Source organism: Homo sapiens, chromosome 3 (assembly GCF_000001405.40).
Source record: "Homo sapiens chromosome 3, GRCh38.p14 Primary Assembly".
Taxonomy (NCBI): Eukaryota; Metazoa; Chordata; class Mammalia; order Primates; family Hominidae; genus Homo; species Homo sapiens.
This window is the reverse complement of record NC_000003.12, coordinates 122,249,926-122,275,695: the sequence shown is the minus strand read 5'-3', so window position 1 is coordinate 122,275,695 and position 25,770 is coordinate 122,249,926. Positions and strand designations below refer to the sequence as shown.

General features: G+C 40.7%; 1 protein-coding gene across 6 annotated transcripts in view, besides 1 other annotated feature; it reads right to left on the bottom strand.

Annotated features, from left to right (window-relative positions):
* The window catches only part of CASR (calcium sensing receptor), a 107,962-nt gene that overhangs the window by 15,934 nt on the left and 66,258 nt on the right, over window positions 1-25,770 (bottom strand). For 5 of the 6 annotated variants that reach the window (NM_000388.4, NM_001178065.2, XM_006713789.4 and 2 more), the window contains 3 exons: window positions 21,322-21,748; window positions 18,309-18,615; window positions 13,284-14,168 (listed from right to left, as the gene is read on the bottom strand). In NM_000388.4, the coding sequence (NP_000379.3) occupies window positions 13,284-14,168; window positions 18,309-18,615; window positions 21,322-21,506 (1,377 nt within the window). In that variant the 5' untranslated portion in view covers window positions 21,507-21,748. The remainder of the gene's footprint in view (window positions 1-13,283; window positions 14,169-18,308; window positions 18,616-21,321; window positions 21,749-25,770) is intronic. The other variant, XM_047449065.1, reaches the window with a different exon arrangement.
* Window positions 10,508-10,609: a silencer, noted in NCBI's record as "fragment chr3:121983934-121984035 (GRCh37/hg19 assembly coordinates)". NCBI's record gives its function as "represses an EF-1alpha promoter that drives an FKBP-Casp9 reporter gene in an ReSE screen in phorbol 12-myristate 13-acetate-treated (for megakaryocytic differentiation) K562 erythroleukemia cells {active_cell/tissue: K562(+PMA)}" and the evidence as "EXISTENCE:reporter gene assay evidence [ECO:0000049][PMID:32094911]".

Here is a 25,770-nt window from a genome sequence, read left to right as displayed (position 1 = left end):
GTGACTTGAGGAAGAGACAGCTTTTTCTAATTCACACCAAAGTACTTGCCGGTGTTAGCAGCAGCCCTGTTAAGCCATGGGCTTTAATTATTATTCAAATTATGATTAGGGTAGGAAACACTTTCTTGAAGATGGGGAAAGGAAAGGGAGACATCTCACCTGGCAACTGGCCAGGTCAAAGGTTCTGCAGGTGTGCCATCACCTGGTGGTGCCCCAGGAGGGGCAGGATTTATAAGCCAGAGTCCATCCCTGGCATCTTCTGAGCTGGGCATTGGGGAAGGACAGGAGAAATGACTGAGTGCTCTTATTCTCCGCACTTTCCTTTCCTATGATCCTGCTGCTGTGGAAGTGCTTTGCTGCCAAGATTCACAGAGTGGGGTGAAGGAAGAAAGAGATGAGGCTGTGGGCAAAGCCCGGCCATTATTGTTGTCAGAGTCATGGCAAATCCTTGAATTTTTATAAGGTTTTATATGTCACAAAGCCTTTGCACAAAAAAGTCATCATAATAATTACTAACACATACCACATGTTGTCATGTAAACATTTTAGATATCAGTCATTTTACTACCATTGAGGCACGACCCTAAGTACTTTATATCCATTATCTAATCAAATCCTCACAACAAATAGTATTAAGCTTATTTTATTTCTGGGGAAACTGAGGCACTGAAAACTTTAAGTATCTCGTCCAGGGTCACAATCCTGCGCTCTTAATTGCTGTACTCTACTGCAGCATCGCTGGGCTCCTGGCTCTGCTTCCTCACATGCTCCTGACATCAGTCAAGAGGAGGCAGTGGGCACTCAGCCACTTATCTTTCATGTGAGGCCAGCCTTGTGTCACTGTGACACCACGTGAGAGTAAGGCAGGGTCCAGCCTGTGAGTGTAGGGTACACCTTCCACTGCACCTCCTGAATCTCCAGTAGTCTCCCATTCTGAGCTAATTTTTTTTTGGTTTTGTAGAGACAAGGTCTCACTATGTTGCCTACGCTGGTCTCAAACTCCTGGGCTCAATCGACCATCCTGCCTCAGCCTCCCAAAGTGCTGGAGTTACAGGCATGAGCCACTGCGCCCAGCCATTTATCATTCTTTTTAAGGTACTTAAAATCCAACGTCTAATCTCACACTGGGACAACATTTGGGCTGAGTCCATCTAATGAATGGCCTTAATAGGCCTTTCTGAGGCCAAATTATTCTGATATGTGTGACAAACACGTGGACTGAGCCAGTACCTCTCCTGTCCCACTCCACTCCAGAGATGGCACTGCTTCTTAACAATTGATATCTGTATTAACTTTATTTTTAGACAAACATTTATTTATAGTAAGGAATATTAAATACAGGAGAGGAGTCACTTGGATTTATCCATAAGTAGCTCCAAGACATGCTTGGGGGCAGAGTCCATGACAGACTATGTGTGCTCACAGGCATAGCACCCTGGGTGCCTCCCTTAACCTGCAGTCTGTGAACGCTGCTCCATTGGCAGGCCCTGACTGCCCTGACTTTCAACTCAGGTCTATGAAGGAGAGGGATCCCTCACTCCCTGCTACCTGGTTCTGCAACCAGAGCTGCTGAGCCATCCTCAAAAAAGATGGAGAATGGCTCCTACTAAGGATTTGTGTCCCTCGTCTTCTCCTGAGCCTTCCCACCTTCTCTGATGGTTGACAACCTTATGTTTGCCTTCATTTTTACTGAGGCCTTAAGGCCGTCAGTGCAGAGGAGGTGTTCTAGATGTGTTCCTTTCTTTTACCTCCACCTCCGCTTCCTATCCCTCCTCGCTGTTGGGGTGACCTGACTTCCTCCTACCCAGAGTGGTGTACATCCTTTTGTCTCTACCCCAACACATCCTTTTCCTGACACATCCTTCTTGCCCTCAGAGGAACATGCAGTTCTTCTGCTCTTTAATACTGCCCTCACTCCCACATTGCTCGAAACCTTGCTCTTAGCAGTTTGGGGGCCTTTCTGACATGGCCATCATCCTTCTCCATGCTGTAATCGTGCCCCTCCCACTTCCTGCTGGGGACCTACCATGACTCAGATGAAATGTGCTTCAAACTTATTCAGGTAGCTTCCAAAGCCCTCCATACTTTGGTCCCATGTACCTACCATGACTTGTCAGTGCAAATGTTTCATCCTAATCATAGAGTTTCCACTATCCTGTCCACATGCCATGCCAGGTCTGTGTGTGTGGAAAAGGAGATGAGAAAAGTGAAGAGGTAGGAAACTACCTCTTATTTGTACTTCCTATGTGCCAGTCCCTGTTCTAATACTTAATACATACTATATCATTTAATCCTCACAACACCTCTATGGATTAGAACTATTAGTATCTTCATTTTCTAGATGATGAAACGGAGGCATAGAAAGGTCAAGAAACTTGCAAAAGTCATATAGCCACTAAGTGCTGGAGCTACGGGTTAAACAAGGCTTTTCTACAACATCATCCTACACCTCTAATATAAATTGCTTACAGTGTCCATGGCAAATGTTTGTTAGAGGTCAGTAATACATCCTTATTGAAATGCATATATTGTGGTAAAGCTCTAGTAGTTAGCATACATTTCTTCTTCCTATTTAGGTTTCAGTTCCTTGGTTCTTAACATGCCAGGCAACAAGCTGCTTTTCTCCTTTGTCCACTAGTTCTCTGCAGTGGAACTCTCCCAGCATCAGGGTAGAAGTGGGGAGGGGAACTGCACAAGATCCTTTCATAATTAGCTGGTCATCTTTCACACTGGTCAGACAAGTGACTTAAAGCTCATCCCTGGCTACAAGTCTTCTGCATTATTGTTGGCATGGGCTGGAGATTTCCACCATAATCCTAACTTCAAAGGAGAAACAATCAAAAATCATTTTCTTAAAGTTTCTAAGTAGTCATTAAAAAACTCATGATAAATACAAGACTGGAATTTTATAATATTGGAATCAATCAACCAGGAAATATTTACAGAGTATCCACTGTGTGTTCTGAACTGGGCTGCAGAACTACAAGATATGGTCATCCCATCCTCATGGAGTTTTCATATGGATTAGGGGATAAAATGCACGACATAAATATTCAATGAAGCAGTAAACAGTGCAAGATAAAATATAGTTAACTGCTAACTGATGGGGTATCATCTCTAAGTACAGAGAAACTTAGAGGAGATAGAAATTTAAAAGGGCTGAAATGATCAATGCAGGTTTCAGGCATATTTTGGCTGGCAAAGGACAGAGGGAGGGAAGGTGTTAAAAACAGTGGAACAGCATGGGCAAAGATATCACATTAGGAATAAACATGATGTGTTATGGGGCCAGTAAAGAGATCAATTTCTCAAGAATCATGTATGTACTAGAGAACAAGGGGAAATACAGAAGATAAGTAAAGAGGAGCCAAGGCAAAAAAGAGGCTAGATTTCACATTAAAAAGTATTGGATTAGATAAGAAACAGGGCTGATTGAAACGTAGAGAACTTGGGGTCCTCCATAGACTGCTGGTGGGGATGTAAACTGGTGCAGCCACATTGGAAAAAACGTCTGGCAGTTCCTTAAAAAGTTAAACATAGAGTCATCATTTGACCCAACAATCCTACTCGTGTGTGTGTGTGTGTGTGTGTGTGTGTGTGTGTGCATTCCTAGGAGAAATGAAAATATATGTCCACACAAACATTTGTACATAAATGTTCATAGCAACATTACTCATAACAACCAAAGGTGGGAACAATCCAAATGTTCATCAATTGGGTAAACAGATAAATAAAATGTGGTATATCCACACAATGGGATACTATTTGGCTGTAAAAAGGAATGAAGTACTGATACATGTTACAATATGGAAGAAGCAGCCAGTCACAAAAGATCATATGTTTTATGATTTTATTTATATGAAATATCCAGGAAAGTCCAAATGTATAGAAGCAGAAAGTAGATCAGTGTTTGTCTAAGACTGGGGCTTTGGGGGCCTAGGGAGTGACAGTTAGAGGATATGAGGTTGCTTTTTGATGTGGTGAAAATGTTCTAAAATTGACTGTGGTTATGGTTGCATAACTGTGAATGTATTAAAAGCCACTTAATTGTATACTTTAAATGACTGAATTGTATGGCATGTGAATTACATCTTATAAAGCTGTTGCAAAAAAGAAGGCATGGAAAAGGACTTTAAAAATCCAAATATGAATTAATTAGTGAAACCGACATTTGTAGTTGGCAGGATCCTTGATAACAAGGTAGCCTCTAGGATACTTGGTGTAGCGAGTTGAGTAATGAGACATGGCAAGTCCAACTTCGGATGTGGCAGGGAGATAAAGAGTAGGCAGGAGGGAAGAGATGGCAATGTAAACATCTTATCTGGAGAAGGAAGCACTCTGGAATCTTTGTGGCTAGGAATGTTGTACCCACACTTCATTAGACCAAACTTCTCTAAAGCAGGAACTGCCTTATTTCCTTCTGTATCTCCAGTGGTTTGTAGAGGGCCTAGATTTTAGTGGATACTCAAACCTTGTCTTTTGAGTGCATAATTAATAGAATAGATATTAAACCTGTAGGTGTCCAGCATGACTATGTGGACAAGTCATGCCCATGATGAGGTTTTTATCAGTCTGAGGATAAATGAGAAAAATAAGGTCAATAGGGCATTCGTATTAGCTGAAAGAAGTAGGCAGAAAATCAATACAAATATAAAAGACTTAAAAGACTTGGACAGTACTATCAACCAACTTGATCTAATTGATATTTACAGAACAGTCATCCCAACAACAGAATATACATTATTTTCAAGAACACAAAATATTTATAAAGATAAACCATATTCTGGATTATAAAGCAAGTTTCAATAAATTTAAAAATATTAAAATCAAACAAAATATGTTGACTCCAATGGAATTAAATTAAAAACAAATAACAGAAAAATGTTTGGAAAAATCACTGGAAACTTGGAAACCAAATAACACACTTCTAAACCTGAGAGCCAAAGAAGAAATCAAAAGGAAAGTTGGAACGTATTTTAAATTGAATTAAAATGAAAACACAGCATATCAAAATTTGAGGGATGCAGCTAATAAAATATTTATAGTGAAATTTATAGCAGTAAATGTCTATATTATAAGAAAAGAAAGGTTTTTAAATCAATGACTTCAGTTTCCAAATAAGTAACTACAAAAAGAAGAGCAAATTAAACTGAAATAAATCAGAAGACAGGAGATGACAAAGATCAGAATAGAAATAAATGAAACAGACAACAAAAATATAGAGAAAAATCACTAAAGCCAAAAGCTGATTCTTTGAGAAGATTAATAAAGTTGATGGATCTCTAGCCAGACTGATCAGAAAAAAGGGAGAAGATGCATATTTACAATATGATAAATTCGAGAAGTGACAACACTACAGATGCTGCAGACATTATAATTATAGTCTGAGAACATTGTAAACAATATTATAAATAAACTTATGCCAGTAAATTTGGCAAATTAGACGATGTGGACAAAGTCTTTGAAAGACAAACTATCAAAGCTGACTCATATATACCTAAATAGCATTCTATCCATTAAATAAATTGAATTTTCAGTTCAAAATTTTCCCACAGGCCATGGACAGTGGTTCATGCCTGTAATCCCAGCACTTTGGGAAGCCGAGGTGGGTGGATCACTTGAGGCCAGGAGTTAGAGACGAGCCTGGTCGACATGGTGAAACCCCATCTCTACTAAACATACAAAAATTAGCTGGTGGTGGTGGTGCATGCCTGTAATCCCAGCTACTCGGGAGGCTGAGGCAGAAGAATCTCTTGAACCTGGGAGGCGGAGGTTGCAGTGAGCCAAGATCATGCCACTTTACTCCATCCTGGGTGACAGAGCAAGACTCCATCTCAAAACAAAACAAAACAATCCCACAAAGAAAACCAACTAAAGGTGGCTTCACTGATGAGTGCTGCCAAAGATTTAAGGAAGAATTAATACCAATTCTACAAAAGTCTTACAGAACATCAAAAAAGAAGTCAATACTGCCAAACTCATTCTGAGGTCATCATTACCCAGACACCAAAACCAGACAAAGACATTACAAGAAAATAAAACTTTAGACCAATAGTCCTCATGAACATAGAAGCAAAATTTCTTAACCAAATTTTAGTAAATCAAACACACAAATACATGTACAAAAAGGAATATACATTATGACCAAGTAGGATTAATCCCAGGAACGAAAGGTTGGTTTGATGGTCAACTACAATAACATACTACAAAAGAAAAACCACATGATTTTCTGAATAGATACAGAAAAAGCACTGATGACATCCAACCTCCATTCCTGATAAAAGCTCTCGGCAATATAGGAATAAAAGGGAACTTTCTCAACTCTATAAAGGGCATCTATGAAAGTTAACATCATACTCAGTGGTAAAAGACTGAATGCTTTCCCCCTGATCAGATGCAGACAGTAATGTCTGTCCTCACTATATCTATACAAGATTATACTGGGAGTTCTAACCAGTTCAATTGGGCTGAATCAGGCCGAGTAAGATTGAAAATATGATCTAAATTCTAAACTGAAATAAACAAAAACAAGCAAACAAATAAAAAGGCCAAAATAATTTTTTTAAAGTTGCTTCTTTTCTTCTTTTAGGCATATTTATTAGTACAAATTAGGCTAATAAATTGTTCCTGATAAAGATTCTTAGGAGGCCTACATCAGTTAAAAATACAAGAATAATTTAAAATTTAATGGTTTCTGGATCTTTATGCCTCAATAACCCTGTTTATACTCTTAAAATCCTTACCAAAACATGCTTTCCTTCATGTAATTTACTTTGTTAACAATGCAGAGCTAAGTTCCAGCCCCAGTTTATGAAGTCAGCATTACTGTGGTTTCTTGTGTGAGAGTTTTCTGACCACTTCTCTGAGATCACTGACCTCCCTTATCTGTGCCTGTATCTAGGTACTGTGTTACTGTCCTCCACTGTCCTCTCAGGAGTTATTTTTGTCCCATTTTCTTTCTTTATTCATTTGTTTATTCAACAAGTATTTATTGAGGGACCACTACTGGCCAAGCAGGCACTGTTTTAGAAAGAAGAAATACAGTAATATTCAAGATGGACAGAGATGTCTAATAGACTCCAACCTGGTTGGCTGTGTGCACTCTCAATTATTTGCACACTATACTTTCTCTTTGTGTAAGGACCGAGGTGTCAGGACAATTGTTGAACACCCAGGGTTCAAGGCAGTGGACCAGTGTCTTCACTTGGAAACCACTGGCTGATCTGGCAGCCTCTCAGGAGCTAGAAGGCATGTGGTGCCCAGAGGGCAAAAGTCATTCTTTTAGCAACTCCTTTGGCCTCTTTGGGGAACAGATCACCTGGAGCAGATGTAGCTTTTTTACTAGCTAGATATATTACTTTAGGAAAATCATTCTGACTTCTCTGGGTCTTACCCTCCTCACCTACAAAAGAATAATACTCAAGACTAATATTTACTGCACATAGTATATAGGCACTATCCTAAGCACTCTGTGCATATTAAGTAATGGTATCCTCATAATAAACTTAACAAGTTTCATGATCTCTATTTCTCAGGTGAGAGAGAAAAGTGAGGCACAAGGACACTAAGTGACTGCCCAAGGTCATAAGGCAATTAGGTGGCAATTAAAATTTAAACCAACTCAGTCTGGCTTGAGATTCCAAACTGTTAACCATTACACTATACTACCTACTCACATGCAGGAGTGAAATTAGACATCTATTAAGTTGCCTATCTCTAGTTACAACAGGTTAACTGGTATAAAATGTAGGTTGAGAAAATGGACATATTTTAAAAATGAAATGGTAGAGATGTGTAATGCTTGTGGCAACATGAGGGGCCATAAGTGGGAAAATGGTCTAACCTGAATGACATCCTGATCTCCATGAGTAGCCAGGACTTCCCCACCTGGGGACTTTCCGTTATTTTTTTTATCAACTTTTTTGAGGTATAATTTATATACACTCATTTTAAGTGTATAGTTCTGAATTTGGGCAAATGTATATGCTTGGTAACTACCACTGCCACCTTCCCAAAAGGTTCTGTGGTGTCCCTGAAAGTCAACCTCTACCCACTTGCAGCCTTAGGCCACCACTGATCTGCTTTCTTTCTGTCAGTAGAGACAGAGTATCGCATAAATGAAATCATACACTATGTACTATTTTTTTTTAGTCAGTATTCTTTTGCTTAGCAGGACATTTTGTGACCTTTCCTCCAAGGAGTAGATCCTTCTCCGTATCCACAAATTTTATCTACCCTTCAAGACTCGTCTCAAATGATATTTTTTTTTCCTTACTTCAAATCCTAACCTGAATTGTATTGTACTATGTCCTCACAGCAGGTATATAAATAAAATCACATGAGTGTGGAATATTTTCTACTCAAAATTTGTACGTTATCCACTTATAATCAATAAATTATTATGCTTACCAAGTCATATCTCTAAGTCACCTCTTTAAACATCTTTAATATTTCTTTTGGCAGGCTGACTTGCAAGTTTTGCATTTGGGCGTTTTATTTTCTGCATAATATCTTGCCTTTAATTCACATAACAGGGAAGATGGAGATGAAAACCATTTCACTCCTAAGAGCAATGACAGGGAATCTTTAAATTGATAATGATTGATCCACAAAAAAAGCAACATAAGTTAGAAGATAATTTAGATATCTGCCCGAGAGAGAACACTCTTTTTATTATTTATTTATTTATTTTGAGACGGAGTCTCGCTCTGTTGCCCAGGCTGGAGTGCAGTGGTGCGATCTTGGCTCACTGCAATTTATGCTTTCTAGGTTCAAGCAATTCTCCTGCCTCAGCCTCCTGAGCAGCTGGGACTACAGGTGCCTGCCACCACACCCGGCTAATTTTTTGTATTTTTAGTAGAGACAGGGTTTCACCACGTTACCCAGGCTGGTCTCGAACTTCTGACCTCATGATCCACCCACTGTGGCCTCCCAAAGTGTTGAGACTATAGGTGTGAGCCACTGCCCCTGGCTTCTTTTGCTTTTAAAAAGGAACTGACAGTTCCTTTTAAAATGAAATATAAAATTTTACTTGAGATTATTATCCAATATTATATGCTTCCAAATTATTTATTTTATTTGGGGAGTAATATGAGGAAAAAGAATAAACGAAGGGGAAGAGAAACAAAAAAAGCTAGTAGAAAGATCCAAACATAGGAGTACTGCTTGAACCTGGGAGGCGGAGTTTGCAGTGAGCCAAGATCGGGCCGCTGCATTCCAGCCTGGGTGACAGAGCAAGACTCTGCCTCAAAAAAACAAAACACAAACAAACAAAAAGATCTGAACATAGAACATAACATACAGACACAAAGAGACTTACAGGCTCACAAAGAAAACACCACCAAGAAAGACACATAGATCTAAAAGAGGGGCAAATACAGGACATGCATGCACTTAGAAGCTAACATACTCTTTTATGCCATAATATTCCCATCTTGTGGTCTTTTAGGGTATTTCCCCTAAAAGATTTTAAAGTCAAACGGTTGCTCATTATAAGCATAAATGGAAATCACCTCTTGGCACACATTCTTAGTAGCGTCAATTGAATTAAACTGAACATTAGAGACTAGAAACCCCCCCACTCTGGTCTAGGACTTCCAGCTCTTATACAGATAATGAGGGCCAGGTCACACAGATAATGAACAAGATAATGAAGTTCATTATCTTGCCCAGTTCCTGTGGTAAGAGCATGGGGAAGATCCAGGCCCAATTCCCTTCTCTAACGCCAGCCATGTTTTCTTATCTCCCTTCCATCTTCTCTGGCTGTCCTCACAATTTATCCCCCATTCCCCAACTTCCAGCAGTACCAGGAATTCCTAGAAAGATCAGCTCCATCTGACTTCCATCTTCACCATGGCTGCACGCCTGTTTTCTGACTAGTGAGTGTTGGTGTGAGGTGCAGGAGAGTAGGAAGCACACCTTGTGCATGATCATCCTGAGAGAAGAAAGAAGGTGATTTCATACTTACATGATGTTCCACTCAAACTTGATAGTGGGCACGTGACCAAAGCTTGTCCAAACAGAGCCTAGAATACCTTGGCCACAGTGATTGATTCAAGAATGGGTTGTTGGCTCAAACGGTTCCCTGCAAAGGCCTATAGGTAGTGTTGACAGGTCAAATCAACTAGACTGCTATTCACTCATTCATTCATTCAATGAATATTCCAGCGACAGGCATTCTGAACATAGTACTGAACAATACAGGCATGGTTCTGGATCTTATGAAGCTTAGAGTACAGCAAAGGAGTAGTGAAGAGAGAGCTGGGAAGGGATGTGAGGAGGGCTTGGGGGTCTCCAAGAAGAGGTCAGGAGGCAATTGTGAGTTGTATGCTCATAAATCACCTGCTAGTGCTACTTTTGAGGCATATGAGTTGACTGATAAATATTTTTTTGGGGAGAAAGAAAGGAAAAAAATTGTGATTGACCCTTATAACCAGAATTTTAACTAATAAGTGTCTATTTCAGTCAATTAAAGAGCTGTGGAAGCTTAAGCTGGGTATATAAACATCAAAAATGAGGAAGCGAGAATGATCAGAAAATGTGTTGTGGGAATACGATTTGAAAAGACTTCCAGGGGAAAGTGGATTTTGAAAACAATTTAAATGTTCCTGGTGGAAAATGACAGCAGAGATAAAAATTGATGGCCCTTCTGGTGTGGGCTATGGCCTATGCAAAGATGCTGTGCCAAAAACTAATGAGTGATTTGTGAGGAGGTGTCATGCAGGTTGGCTTATAGGGGAAGAACTGAGAGAAGGCAGACATGGAGTTCCAGCTGGAGACTTGGATTAGATTATAGGTGATAAGTTTCCATATAGATCTTAATATTGAGAATGAATGAATAATTGCTAGTTGATTTCCTGATGAAGATATAGGTCTTAATAATGAGAATGAATAATTGCTAGTTCATCTCCTGGCCAAGACCTCAAATTCTGGAACGCCCATCCAACAGCCTGGGTTCCTGAGGCTCAAAGGAGACTCACACCAAGCACTCAGGACATTTTGGCCAATTTCCCATGTCATTCCTCCCTAGAGTTCTGATCCCATTTTCCTATCTGTGCTGTCTCCTGGGGAGATTTTTCCAGACCATGTAAGAGTCAGGAGAACATATCTTTACCTGGGCCATGGTTGGGTGAAGTGTCTGTGTAGTGGACATTTTGAATGTTGGCTGCTTTGCTTCTATTTCTTCCTCCTTTTGGTAATGGCATCCTGACTTCCCACTGGAGATTCACTCCCCCCTTACTCTAAGTCTATGTAGTCTGGAGGACTGCTAGCATCAGGGATGGATCCATGACTTAGGAATGGTCAATAAATGTGGTTTCTGGAACTTTTACAGGATATCTTGGGAAGTAAGGAGATCCTAGCTTCAAGCTGCTACAGAAGCTGAAAATTGCTAACCCTGGGGAATGAAGAACAGAAAGATGAGATGAAAATACCTAGCTGTACCTGGAACACTTCTGAGATTTTTAGTGACATGACCCACTCACTACATTTCCTCTTTTTTTGTTTATGCCAATTTGGTTAGGGCTTTCTATTACACAACTAAAAGTCCCAGTTGTGACTGTAGCCTGTCATGGCTTTTTTTTTTTTCTCACAGGTCCAAGGTCTGGTCTTGACCATCTGTATTTTATTTCCTTATCTGGAAGAGGAGCCATTGAAGAGTAGAACTGCCAAGTTTCCCCCTTGAAGCCTGTTTTTCCTTCAACCCTACTCTTGTCTTGCAGTTTTTTCAAGAACTGAGGTCCTCCTTGCATTGGACGTGAGAGGTAAGAAAGAAAAGACAATAGTAACAACCACCTAGAAGATTGCTCCCTTACTCCTCCTACTTAAAACCCCATACCTTAGCATCATCACTCCTGAAGACTTTAGAGTGCCTGACCTTTATTACAGCACCTCTATCTTGGCAAGGTAGGGGTTCCGTGTGAAGAAAGAAGCTCTGAGTACCCCACAGAAGTTAGAAACTTTAGCCAACAGTGATGGTTGGGTAAGAGGTTCCCATATAAGAAGGGCTGAGAACTTGAAGATTCTGGCCTATTTGACCAACTTAGACAGTCACTCCTTGTCTTTCATGAGAATCTCTACAGTGACTGATACAAGTTGTGTGCTTTTTGCTTCTTGGTATCCTTCCCAAAGGGTTTGTGGTGGTTGGGTTCTGTATACAAAGGTGTTCTAGTTATCATTTTTACCTAATTCATGGATTAATTAGAGCTGTACTGAAATCCTACTATAATAATCACACATCTGTTTAGAGCTTGAAAGTTTACAAATTGCTTTTACATATATCATGTCATTTAATGTCATGAACCTAAGTCAAAAGAACATTGAGTGGAAAGTAAGCTAGACATTAAGTCTGTGTCACAGATGGAGACACTGTGACTTACAGCCATGGTTTGCCTAAGATCACACAGCTAGGAAATGGGGGAGCTGGAGGCTGGCACATTCCATTCAAATTCAGGAATTCCCGCCCTCTCCACTGTCATGCAATCTCTCTGATAGGTCAGTTTGGAACTAAGGAAAATACAAAAGGAGTGTGAAACATGGTCTGATTGAAAAAAATAAGGCACATATGCAAGACCCGAACAGCTATTTAGGATATAAGCTCTTGAAATGAAAAAGATTATGATGTCTCTCCTGTGTGTAATTCAAAAATACAAAACAAGGCTAAACAAGTGTGGGAACTCCTCTTAAGTTCTGATTTTTTCTATGATAACCACTTCAGTGCTTCTTTTTGAAACACTCAATATCAAATCTTTTTACAAAGAGTTTTTGTTTTCTGTGTCTTTGATTTGCTTTTGTCCTAAGCTGTGCTTAGCTGACCTGCTGGGTGGCTTGGTATAGGCTGTCAGTAATGTAATGGCAAAAGTGGTGGCTAAACACAATAATACTAGCTTTATGCCACTTAGTATATGGAATGTAATAGGTACTCAAAAAATACTTCTTACTCACAAGGGAACAATATTGATAATTTAGACATTAGAAAAATACCCCACTCATTACTAAATCTGTTCTGGGATATTTGAAAACTTTTGGGGACCATACTTCAGTTATTCTGAATCACTGGACTAAAGAACAGTTGACTCAAGGCTTTAAATAGATAATCAAATTACTATCAATTTTGTTCAAATCAGTTGCTCAAGATTTAAAAAAGGTACTTTGAATCCAAAGCTCCATTTAGTGGCTTCATTTAAATATTGCCCTTTTCAAATGACCACTATTTTTCTTGCCTGGAGTTGCAGCCCAACTCTGCTTTATTATACAGCAAATTGCTATATAAGTGAAGGACGCACCTGCCACGCCTCAACTTTCTTGATGTCTGCACAGGAGCCATTGGTGAAGAGCCCTCTCCCAGGTAAGCAGGTATATATATCTTGCAAGGCGTGGGCAATGGAGTAGACTGCTAAGTACACATTGTAGGATATCCGTAAATGCGTGTAATCTATGTAAGGGGTCTCGACACTGCTGATGTTCTCATCCCCTGTACAGAGGGGTCGGAAGGCTGTCGAGCTGTTGCTAAACCTGTCGCCACTTTCTTCGTGACCTCTCAGAAAGGTGTCCACAGGTAAAGGTCCTTTTGCACCTTCTTGGAGGTGGCAGTTAAATGTTTCTTCCCAAAACTCCTTGGCAAAACCATTGTGGACAGACTTCCTGGGATGGACCTTCTTCAGGAATTCCCGGAAGCCTGGGATCTGCCCAGCCTTCAGAGCGAATCCAATGGTGCCGCCAACCACGTGGAAGTACTGAGGCATGGCGATCAGGGAGGAGCTGGCCCAGGCCTCGCTGGCCAGCCAGATCTTGCCCGTGATATTGCGCCGGACAATCTCCTTGATGAGGGGCTCAAGATCTGGGCCACTGGAGAAAACCACGATGACTTTGGCCGTGGAATTTTGAATCACCTCTACCACATGCTGGATCTCTTCCTCATCAGAGTACTGGGAGATGAGTTCACTGAAGTCGATGCAGATATCCCTTTCCTCAGCTTCCTCTCGGAATTTCTCAATCCCCGGCCGCCCATAGTCGTCATCAGCTGCAATTGTGCCCACCCAGTTCCAGCGGAAATACTCGATGATGTCTGCCATGGCAGTGGCCTGGTGCTCATCATTGGGGATGGTTCGGAGGAAAGACTTGAATTGATTCTTGTTGCTGAGGAGTCTGCTGGAGGAGGCATAACTGACCTGGAGAGAACCAAGAACATGGTGAATGAGTGAGTGAGTGAGTGAAGAGGTGCTGAGTGAGCCTCCAGGCTGTTGTGGAGGTGGCTTTCTGAGCATGCCTTGGTCTCATTTATCAACTATGCTGTTCACTGTATACAGGATGAAAGAAAGGGTAAGGAAAAGCAGCATCTGTTCCACTCCAGAGTGAGCACTTAAGCACCTTTCAGTCTTTGAGGGAGCATCCCAATTCCCAATGGATGATTCTTCACAATGCTAACTTCAAAACTGGGTCTGGCCATAAAATCAACCCAACAATAGTGGGATGTACTTAGCCTTTCAAGAAGAGTCTTTATGCACCGTTTCATGTCTTCTCTAACCTCCTCTGTGCTGCCTCATTGGTTATAATATATCCATGTACACAACTTTGGCTTGTTGGGCTCAGCTTCTGATCTGAAGAGTTTAACTTCCCTTTACTGCAATAAACACTTTGTTCATAATTTGCCTGTGGAAGGAATCGGGTTCCCCATGGATTATAAACTTAAGGCTCTTCAGAGGAGTCCCCGGGAATTCCCTTTTCTTATTCTGCCTAATTTCTCTCTTCCCCTCCTCTGGTTATTCCTCCTCCTCCCTCTCCTCCCCGCACCCCAGTACTTTAGAAAAAACTAAGCTTAATTGCAGTCATTTCTGAGAACTGTTTCTTTTAGGCTCAATTAGACCACTAAGACCACTAGGCTCAATCCCCCTGTATCACAATAACAATGACGTATGTAATTAAATATCATCAGAAAAACCTCCCTTCCTCTCCATCCCACTATTGTTGGATTGATTTTATGGCCAGACCCACTTTTTTTTTTTTTTTATTATACTTTAAGTTCTAGGGTACTTGTGCACAACGTGCAGGTTTGTTACATATGTATACATGTGCCATGTTGGTGTGCTGCACCCATTAACTCATTGTTAGCAGACCCACTTTTGAAGGTCGCATTGTGAAGAATCTTCCATTGGGAAGCACCTTCCAGAGCCCTTTCCTTTATTCAGTTATAGGTGATGGCTGAGCCTGCTTGACAGGCTTTTGATATGGGTCTTGAAAATCTTAAGAGGCTGAACAGGAACCCTGGAGAAGCTGTCTTGACATGTTTGCACTCTCTAAGACATAGCCACTTCTGCATCTGAGCAAGGGTGTGGACTACCAAGGGAAGAAAGTCTTGCCCTTGATGTTAAGAGATCGTTGCTTGAAGAAGTAGCCAAATACCATGTAAAGCATTAGTTAGTGCAGAGCTTTCCCACTTCTTTTCACATTATGGCAACACATGGAGCAAACAGAGGAAGCTGATCAACCCTGGTGGGAGTGCTCTGACCACTCAGGCCCCACCTGGTCACCCCAACACTTGAGGAGATCCACATCTTTGATGAGGCCGGCTTCAGCTCATTTGCAGCACTCTGTGTCATCATGGCTCACCACTTAGGAAGTTCCAAGTTATGGGACCATTTTTTCTGAAGAACGAAACATTTTTACACAAATGGAATTTCTTCTAGGAAATGAAGTAGCTTAATATCTTGTGTTCTCTAGTTTTTCCAGAGAGATTTTAAACTTCTTAAGAAAACAAGTCAAAGGTATTTGGGAGAATGCCTTTTTAATATCTTTCACCATTTAAAACAATTAATTTTCCATGTCCAATATTTTTAAGTAAAAATTTCCAGACCATCCTGGCTAACACGGTGAAACCCCGTCTCGACTAAAAATACAAAAAATTAGCCGGGCGTGGTGGCGGGCGCCTGTAGTCCCAGCTACTCGGGAGGCTGAGGCAGGAGAATGGCGTGAACCCGGGAGGCAGAGCTTGCAGTGAGCTGAGATCCTGCCACTGCACTCCAGCCTGGGTGACAGAGCCAGACTCCATCTCAAAAAAAAAAAAAAAAAAATTTCCAATGTGTTTCTTCTTATTGATGGATAGTTTCTACATTAGAAACATAAAAGGCGTTGGTCTGTAAAAAAATTAGGCCAACTTGACTAAAAAGTAAGTATGACTGTTTTCTGACAAGAGCTTTTATTTTAGAAGTTATAGTATAAAATTGATAATTTTTTCCCTTATCAGAATAAGGTATTCTCGAAATACCACAGAACTTATGAGGCAGGTGGTTAAATTAAGTAATTTGTTTAGATGTTATTGTTTTTCAGAGAATTCTGTTAGCAGACCCAAACAATAGGCCTCTAAATCAGATTTTTGCAAACACAAAACCTACCATTTTAAAAAATCCATCCATTATTGCTTGCTTCTTGAGTTTTTCAAAAATAGGTCAAAAGGGCTTCAATGGAATAAAAATCAAAAACAATAATATTCCTCATGGATATGTTCTCTTAAGGAACGTATTTATAATGTTTACCAAGTTTTTAAAAAGCAACTCTAAAGTGGGGTAAATACCATTTTGTGCCCCAACCCCCCAAAAAACCCCTCAGAAACACACAAAACTTTTTTTTATTGTAAGAGGGGAGAATTTCAAGAATGATTCAGAAAACTGTTCCAACCGCAATTTGTCTAGCTGGTCTGCTTGTTCCATCCACTTGGTGGCGTGGCTGGCATACGAAATACCCCTGGGTCCATGACCTCACCCGGCAGGGCAGTGGTTCCCAGCCCAGCTGCACATTAGAATCACTTCCAGAGTGTTAAAACCTCCCGACACCTAGGCTGCATCTCAGCTCAATTAAACCTTGATCTTTGCGGAGTGGGACTTAGGCACCAGTATTTTTAAAGCTCTCTAAGTGATTCCAATAGGTAGCCATGGCAGACATGGCAGAGAACCCCTACTGTAGATAGACTTATATTGGTTTGATTGATAATCAAAGCACTTTTATAATTCAAACTCAACTTAACCTTATCTTTCATCCAAAACACAAAGAATTAACACGCCCCTCCCCTTTTCATGTTCTTTCTTTACTTGACATCTTAGCCTGTTGGCCATGGGGTAACAATAACTTACTTTAACGTGTATCTAAGTTTGAATATACGCAGCACATTTACTGATACAGGCTTTGTCAGATCACTTTGGCACAAAAGTTACAAAGCCAGGGCTTCCCCATGGGAAACACCTTTAATTCCCTGAAGTAAGGATTCCGTCAATGATGACAAAACTATCTCTTGTCTCATGTATATAAAGAGATAATGGCAATCACCAAAAAAAAAAAAAAAAAAAAGGAGCCCTCCCAACATAGAAATGTAAATTTATCAAAGGTACTCTTACAAATTTTAAATATTAAACATTCAAAAAATAAATTTAAGGTATAGTTTATAGTTTAATTTCAAACTTGATGTAAGGATGCATCACAATTGAGCTGATTCTCCCACCCACAGACATTTAGGTTGTTTCCATTTTTTCACTATTATAAAATGATGTCATAGATTTATAAATATTAAACTGAAAAATGCTTTGCTCTATAGCGTTAAGAAGGAAAATGTCAGGTTATAAAATGGCACTTCACATTTGTTATCTTTTTTTGGTGAAAAAAATGCACCACTGAATGTTTATTAAAGCACTTGCTTCAATAAACTGTTAGTAAATGGAAACGCAACCATCTCTCCACCTAGGCTAAGTTCCCGCAAAGTGGAGACCGCTTATACATATATGCTCAATAAATATTTTTTGAATGAAATAGAATTTTCTCCGTTTCTGGAATGTGCAACACAATGATTAAGTTCCTGTTTTGTGAGAAAATATGCTCTGCTTCCCTCTGAGCTAAAGTTTCAATGAGACAGTGGAGCAGCGAGACTTTTCAGGAAATGGAATTCGGGACAGATATTTTGGATTTGAGAGGTGGGATTTACCTCATATGCTCTGATTCCTTTTAGTAAAAGTAGAAGGAAAAAAAATTTACTAAAGGAATAGAGTGGGAAATAAATAACTGAATGCCTCTTTTTAAAAAAAGACACAGTTTTATGCAAGGTACATTTAAAAGAATTTTGGAAGCATAGTGAAGGTATCATTGATATTGTGGACACTGGAGTTTCAGAAATCCCAAATGGTCATGATACAGCATATCAACTAAATCATAGGTCTTTTGTGCCAGAGATGGGAATATGGTAAACCGTATGGCTATTGGGCATGGCACCCCCAAGCCTGCTTCTTCTGATCCTGCTCCCAGTGCCCCGCCTGAGAAGGCTTGAGTACCTGGGGAATGTAGAAGAGCCCCAGCAGATTTGCCACTGCCGTGGAGACGCCTGAGCCAGTTGCTCCCACCACAGCAATCGTAGAGGGAATGTGCTCTGAGCAGTTGCAGAACTCATCAAGGTTCAAAGAATCAATTTTGTTTTGAGCAACAAAACTCAGGGTGGCTTCCAAGGCCTTAGAAACGGTGTTGCAAGTGTCAAATATCCTGTATCCCAGCGTCAAGTTGGGAAGAAGGGCTGGGCTGCTGTTTATCTCCTCTATGGCAAATATCATAGCCTGTAACCAGCGAAACCCACGGAAATTATACCTGGAAGAAAGAAGAAGTGGAAGAAAATGGGAAGCTTTCTAGTCAACGACTTTAGAGTAAAGACCTGGCAAAGCTGGGTTTGAATCATCGAACTGTTACTACTCTCTGGCTTCATGGCATGCTCTGTACAGAGCCCTCTCTGTTAAAATGGGGATGACATGGCCGGGCGTGGTGGCTCACGCCTGTAATCTCAGCACTTCGGGAGGCCGAGGCGGGTGGATCACTTGAGGTCCAGAGTTCAAAACCAGCCTGGCCAAAAACATGGCGAAACCCCGTCTCTATTAAAAATACAAAAATTAGCCAGGTGTGGTGGCAGGTGTCTGTAATCCCAGCTACAGGGGAGGCTGAGGCAGGAGAATTGCTTGAATCTGGGAGATGGAAGTTGCAGTGAGCTGAGATTGTGCCACTGCACTCCAGCCTGGGTGATAGCGTGAGACTCCATCTCAAAAATAAATGAATAAATAAAAATAAAAGGAGGATGACACTTGCCTCATAGGGTGACTGTGAAGATCATGACATGAGCTAATTATGCAAAATCTTCAGCATGGTGCCTCACACAGAGACAGAGAGCAATAATGACAATAATAAAAATAAAAAGAAGAATAAAAGATTGCTATTTGTAATTCATTGAATAATTTGTATCTGTCTTCTGCAGTAATGAATTTGAAGTAGCTGATATGAGGTACTTAAATAAAAGCAATATGTAGATGTACAAGAAAAGGACCAGGAAAACATAAATACATTAGGATATTAATATGTGGGTGCCTAAAAATAACCTCAGATCAGATTTGCAGAGTCATATGTTTAGACTATGACATTCCTGAAGGTCAAGGGGAAAGGGACGTGAATGATCTCATTTTTGTAAACAAATAACAAACCTATGAAGGCCATACACAGACAGTCTGGGGTGTACAACAGTGGTTATTTCTGGGAGGTGGAATGCTGAGTTTTAAAATTATGTGCTTTTGGCTTATTTATACTTTATATCTAAAAAATGAACATGCATTGCTTTTCAAAGAAGAACATTTTAAATAAAAATCAAACAAGTTAACAAGAGAAATAGGGTCAGTGACATAGTTTTCACTTCCCTAGCACTTTGCTCAGAGTCAGGGCTCAGTAAATGTGCTGAATCAGTGTATTTGTGTCTAGAGGAAAAAACAACTCACCAGGTTCTTTATATTGTGGGTTTCACTACTTGAACTCAGTGACAGTGACAGGAGGTGAGATATACAATCTTTTATACTCCATTGTATTGTTAGGTTCCCTAAGCTCTTGGTCTAACTTTTAATGTGATGTTTTCTGTTACCATTTTCTTTAAGTTTCCTTCATGTATTTGTTTAACTATTTGTTTTAAATCTACAAAGTTATTATGAAATATTACAGATTTTTTTTACATTAAACATCTTTGCTGCTAAGCTAATTTTATTATCTTTAACATAATTTAAAAATATATATTATTTTAGGGCAAGCCTCTTGCTTGATCTTAGGTCTGTATACACATGGCACATGTACAGCTCTGTGCAGCAGGGTACAACAGAGTATTTGTCCACATGGGTTATGTGAAGGATATCATCAGCATCAGTGCGATTCTGCACTTAGATTTCCTGCATTCATAAGAAAAATGTGAAAATATTATCAATTTACTAGCTCTCATTAGAACATGAACAGAAATCCAGTTTTATTGGAACAATCCTAGTTTTCATTTTCATTTTCCAGCTATTGGGAAGAGCAAGGAAAAGTGCTGGATCCCTTCTGGAAGTTGCAAGTCTCTCTAGAAGATGGGTCAAGATTTGGAGCACAGTCAGTCTCCAGTGTAGATTAGGGGAGGTGATAAACAGTCCCAACCATATTCTGCAGAAGTCAGATCCCATTTAAAGAGATGTGCCTCACCCTGGAGACTATATTCTAAAAGGGTCGCAGTAAATTAGGGGGCATCAGATGGAGGACAACCAGGATGATGACGGGTCTGGAAAGCATATCATGGAGAAAATGATGATAAAACAGACTATGTGGCTTGGAGAAGAAAATATTTGATGAGACATATTAGCTCTCTTCAAGTGGCCACAGAGAGAATCTATTGAGAGAGTGAGATGCATTCTTGGCAGGGTGGATGGGGGGTGGGGAGGGTGGCAAGGGGGGATAACCTTCCTATGCAAAAGACTTTTTGATGGCAGTAGTTCCAAAATGCTATGGACTACATTTTACAGTTTGAAGATGCCTGGGTCATGCTGACTACTGTGGTTTCTTTCAACTTAAATGCCTTAAAAAAAAGAAAGAAAAAAAAGAAAAAGAGTGAGGCAGCCAGCACTCAGGTATTACTATCCATTGGAGCATGTAAGGTCAATGGGGGATTTTACTACTCAGGTTTGCAAGACCTGCAATAAATTTCCTTCTAGGTACTTAGTCTTCCATTAAGCAACACTGCTGCCAGGTGAACGATGATAACTTGGTCACCAAATGACCACCAGGTGCTTTAACAGGCCATGCATGGATTTTCTACTTAATATCATTGACATTTTATTTAAAAAGAAGTCTTCAGGAAAAAAAAGGCAGGTTGTGGGGGCAATAAGCTTCAGCATGATTACCAATCAATCACTATTCTTGAAAAGATAGGACAAAGTTTGAAAAAATTATTTTGCGTTTGGTGCAGCTTTTCTCCAACCACTCAGAAGAGAAGAGATTGGCAGATTAGGCCCCTCTTCTTACCTGATACATTCCACAGACTCCGGCCTTGATTTGAGATCTTGATCTTTAGCTGCTACTCCAAAATGAATAGGAAAGAGCCCCCCAAGGATAATGTCCCCCTTCTTTTGGGCTCGCTGGTCTGGCCCGTAGGCAGAGGTGTGCCAGGTGAGTGCCAAGAGGACCCAGCAGCAGCTATAAAATGCCATGGTTCTGCCGTCTCTCCAGGGCAAGGGATGAGACAGCTAGGAGTTTGGAGGCTCCCAGAAGTTTCTCCCTTGGAGCAGTTCACTCCCTGCAGTGGGGACACATGTCTACAGATTGATTAATAAAATAATAGAAGACGTGGTGTTTGAATCTCCATTTCTGCCTTCCTCAATCCAGACTTGTAATGTGGGTGGTCCTTGAGTCTTTGGAAGCCACATCATGCAGAGGCCTCCTGTGATGCCTTCTAAAAGAAAAGAAAGACAAAATGGATTCAGCTAAACCTCAATCCCATCTTGTGATGACCACTGCAACTAAGGTGGCTCAGAATTTCCATTTAGAGGGGCCTAGGGGTGGCAGACTGAAAAGGCCTGGCTTGGAGTCACATTTTTATAGCACTTCATGTAAAATACAGGAAACGTCAATTGCCCATATTGGGGAAGAACTATGTTAGGTTATGAGAGGTCAAATTTTAAAGAGGCCCTTGATAACCTAAGACCTCTGCTGGTGCTGATGCTGGATTTTAATCCATTCATTTTCCTGTGTGAATGAGGCATAAATTTGGCCTATTAGTAGCAGAAGCTCCTTTTGTTATAATAATATTAGAGATATTTTATTCAGCATGTAAGTTCTTATAGAAAATATAGAATGAAGCTGGGTGCAATGGCTCACGCCTGTAATCCTAGCACTATGGGGAGCTGAGGCAGGTGGATAACCTGAGGTCAGGAGTTCAAGATCAGCTTGACCAACATGGTGAAACCCTGTCTGTACTAAAAAAATACAAAATTAGCTGGATGTGGTGGCATACGCCTGTAATCCCAGCTACTTGGGAGGCTGCGGCAGGAGAATTGCTTGAATCTGGGAGGTGGAGGTTGCAGTGAGCCGAGATCGTGCCATTGCACTCCAGACTGGGCAACAAGAGTGAAACTCTGTCTCAGAAAAAAAGAAAGAAAATAGAGAATGAGTCATATTTAAGCTTAAATCTGACTTTGAACCAAACAAAAATGTTGGAAAAGACCACTTATTCTTTATTTTTTATGATAGTCTCCTTTTTTTGTGCAGGTCTCTGGTTTCAGTTTGTAATATGACACCCTGTAAGCCTTTTAAGAACAGTTCTTATACGAAATTCAGAGAAATCATGGATTAGATTGTGTTTTACAAAGATCAACAGCTGGATATAGGAGAAAGCCCTCCTGCTATACTATGATTAGTAGAGTAGGAACTCTGCTCTTCTCACTCCGCACCCTATCTCACTCACCCTGTGAGTCAATTACCAATTACAGGTTGATGGGGCTAAATATCCAGCCTGTCTTGAGGCTCAGGGCCAAGCACTGGACTGCCAACTGGACACTGCCACATGAATGTTCCACAGATTCTTTGAATTTAACAGGCCCTAAACTTACCTCCCTACTGGACTTGTTTCTCCCTCACTGTTTTCTATCTTAGAAGATTACATGCCATCCACAGAGACACAAAATAAGGAGCCATCTTTTCCTCCTTTCTGTTCTCATCATTGTCCTTCATATTTACACAATCCCTAAGCCCTGTAGATTCTACTTCTTAATTCTCTCTGGAATCCATTTACTCCTCGCCATTTCCAAGATTATTTTTAGTCCACCATCATTTATTTCTTTTTCTTTTTCTTTGTCCCTCTCCCCTCCCCTCCCCGCCTTCTTTCTTTCTCTCTCTCTCTTTCCCTTCCTTCCTTCCCTCCCTCCCTTCTTTTCTTTTCTTTCTTTTCTTTTTTTTCTTTCTTTCTTTCTTTCTTTCTTTCTTTCTTTCTTTTTCCTTCCTTCCTTCCTTCCTTCCTTCCTTCCTTCCTTCCTTCCTTCTTTCTTTCTTTCTTTCTTCTTTCTTTCTCTCTCTTTCTTTCTCTCTTCCTTTTTCTCTTTCTTTCTGACAGAATCTGGCTCTGTCGCCCAGCCTGGAATGCAGTGGCGCCATCACAGCTCACTACAACCTCAACCTCCCAGACTCAAGCAGTCCTCTCACCTCTGCCTCTTGAGTGGCTGGGACTACAAACACATGCTACCCACACCTGGCTAATTTTAAATGTATTTTTTTATAGAGATGGGTCTCACTCTGTTGTCCACAGCTGGCCTTGAACTCCTAGGCTCAAGTGATCCTCCCACCTTGGCCTCTCAAAATGCTAGGGTTGCAGGTGTGAGCCACCATGCCTGGCCCTGCCATCATTTTTAACCTGGATTTCTGCAACTATTTCTTAACTGGCATTCTCATCTCCAGTTTTGCTCTTTTGCAATTTGCAAATCTTTGGATGCCACAGGACAAGTGCTTTGGAGCACAGGCTCTGGATTCACACCTGGCTTTGAATCATAGTTCCACTACTTTCTAATATGACTTTGGGCAAGTCACTTAATGTCTGTGATCTAAACAAAATAATGCATGGAGAGCCATTAGCACAATGTAACTAGTAAACTCATAGAAAATACTGGCTTTAATGAATACCCTTCCACTCTTGTTAGTCTTCTCTTTGTATGTCACACTCCAACCTTGCTGAACTTCTTTCAGTTCCTCAAGTACATCAGGCTTTTAAAATGCTCAGATCTCACACTTGCTGTTCCCCTCCTTGGTCCCTGTGGCCTAAACTTGGCCTGGAAAACATCTACTTATCTTTGAGCTTTCAGATGTCCTTAATTGCAGGGCATGTCTGGGTGAACTGTAGGCCTTCGGGTGAATGAGGAAAAGAGCTCCTTCTGGGGAGCACACGGCTTTGAGTCAACGTGCACAGCTTTAGTGGAACACAGATTGGATTTCAGCCCACATTAACCCCTCAGTTGTGCAGTAAGCAATTTGCAAGGCTTTTGAAGGAGGACTTCCCTGAACCCTTAGGTGAGGGGAGGTCCACCTGTAAGAACATAGTCTCTTATGTCTTGGATCTTGGAGCTTCCCTCTTGGAAGGTTCATCACACTTTATTACAGTTATGTTCATAAACGTCTGATTCCAGAGCTCAATCTCTTAATCATTGTCATATGGTGCCTCTTGCTCCTTAGGAATTCCACCTTCTCCTCCAACAGCATTCCTAGCAGAGTGTGCTGAGCCTCAGGTGGAAGGATGACCCCAGCAGACGCTCAATTTTCATGGAGTCTCCTCCTGTAATGTCTGAACATCCATGACCATCCCAGTTTTCTGACCCTAGTCCTGCTTTTAGATTTTTGGCCTCATTCCTTGGACCCTGGTCATATGTTCACTCATACATTTAATAAGTACATGTGCTGGGAATATAAAGGTGACAAACACATGCATGTTTATATCCTCAGGAGCTCTCAGTCCAGGGGGTAGACATGCTGGGCTAAATGATCAGAATTTACCTTAACACTCAGAAGTGGAAAAAAAAAAGTAACTTTTTCTCTAAATTCAACTTTGTCCTGCAGCACTTACTTCGTACAGTGTCTGAAATAGTAAATGCTGAATAAATGTTTATCGAATAAAAGCATTAAAAAAGAAAGTACTTTGGAAGGAGACAGAAACTAGCATTTATTGATCCAGGCATTGTGCCAGATCCCTTAAACATTCCATGTATTTTGAACTTCACAACAATTTTGTAATGAGGGTAATACCAAGTCCACTTTCTAGATAGGGAAATAGATTCTTTGTATATTCAGCTTACTCGAGTGAGCAGTTTTGGCACTTGTCTTAAGAATGCCTTAAGAACTCAGAATTTTAAGGAGTCCCATGGACTGAATTAGATGGGAGAGAGAACATTATAACTGGCTAGGGTTAGTCACTGAGACCTGTTAAATTTTTCCTGTGAAATATTAACTACTTGGAGTTTATTAACTTAATTAGTTCATTCAACAGAAAATTAATGGCAATAAGGAATAGAGGAAGGAGAGATTTGGGGTCAATTTGTAGCAGTTAACTCTCTCAGTCTAACATATTCTTCAAACCACCCTTTTGAGTTCAGTTGTCAGGGTCGAATTTGCTTCCAAAGCTGAGGGTCATTCTAGATCCTCCATCTCCCTGTCCTCCAACATCCAGTCTCCTGGTCCTGTGATTCTGCCATTGCTTCCCACTCTGCCTTCTCCTACACACTCCTGTGGCCAGTGCCTTCGTCCAGCTCCCATCACCTTCCACCTTCCATGTTGTAAAAGCTTTATTTTCTTTGTACTTGACTCCTGGTTGCCCCTTATCCCTTCTCCCCGCTTCCTCTATTCTGCTGCACGGAGGTGGATATGACAGCTAGAGACCATCTTGAACAAGGAGCTACAACCTAGGAAATGATGGTGCCATGAGCTAAGCTTTTCATA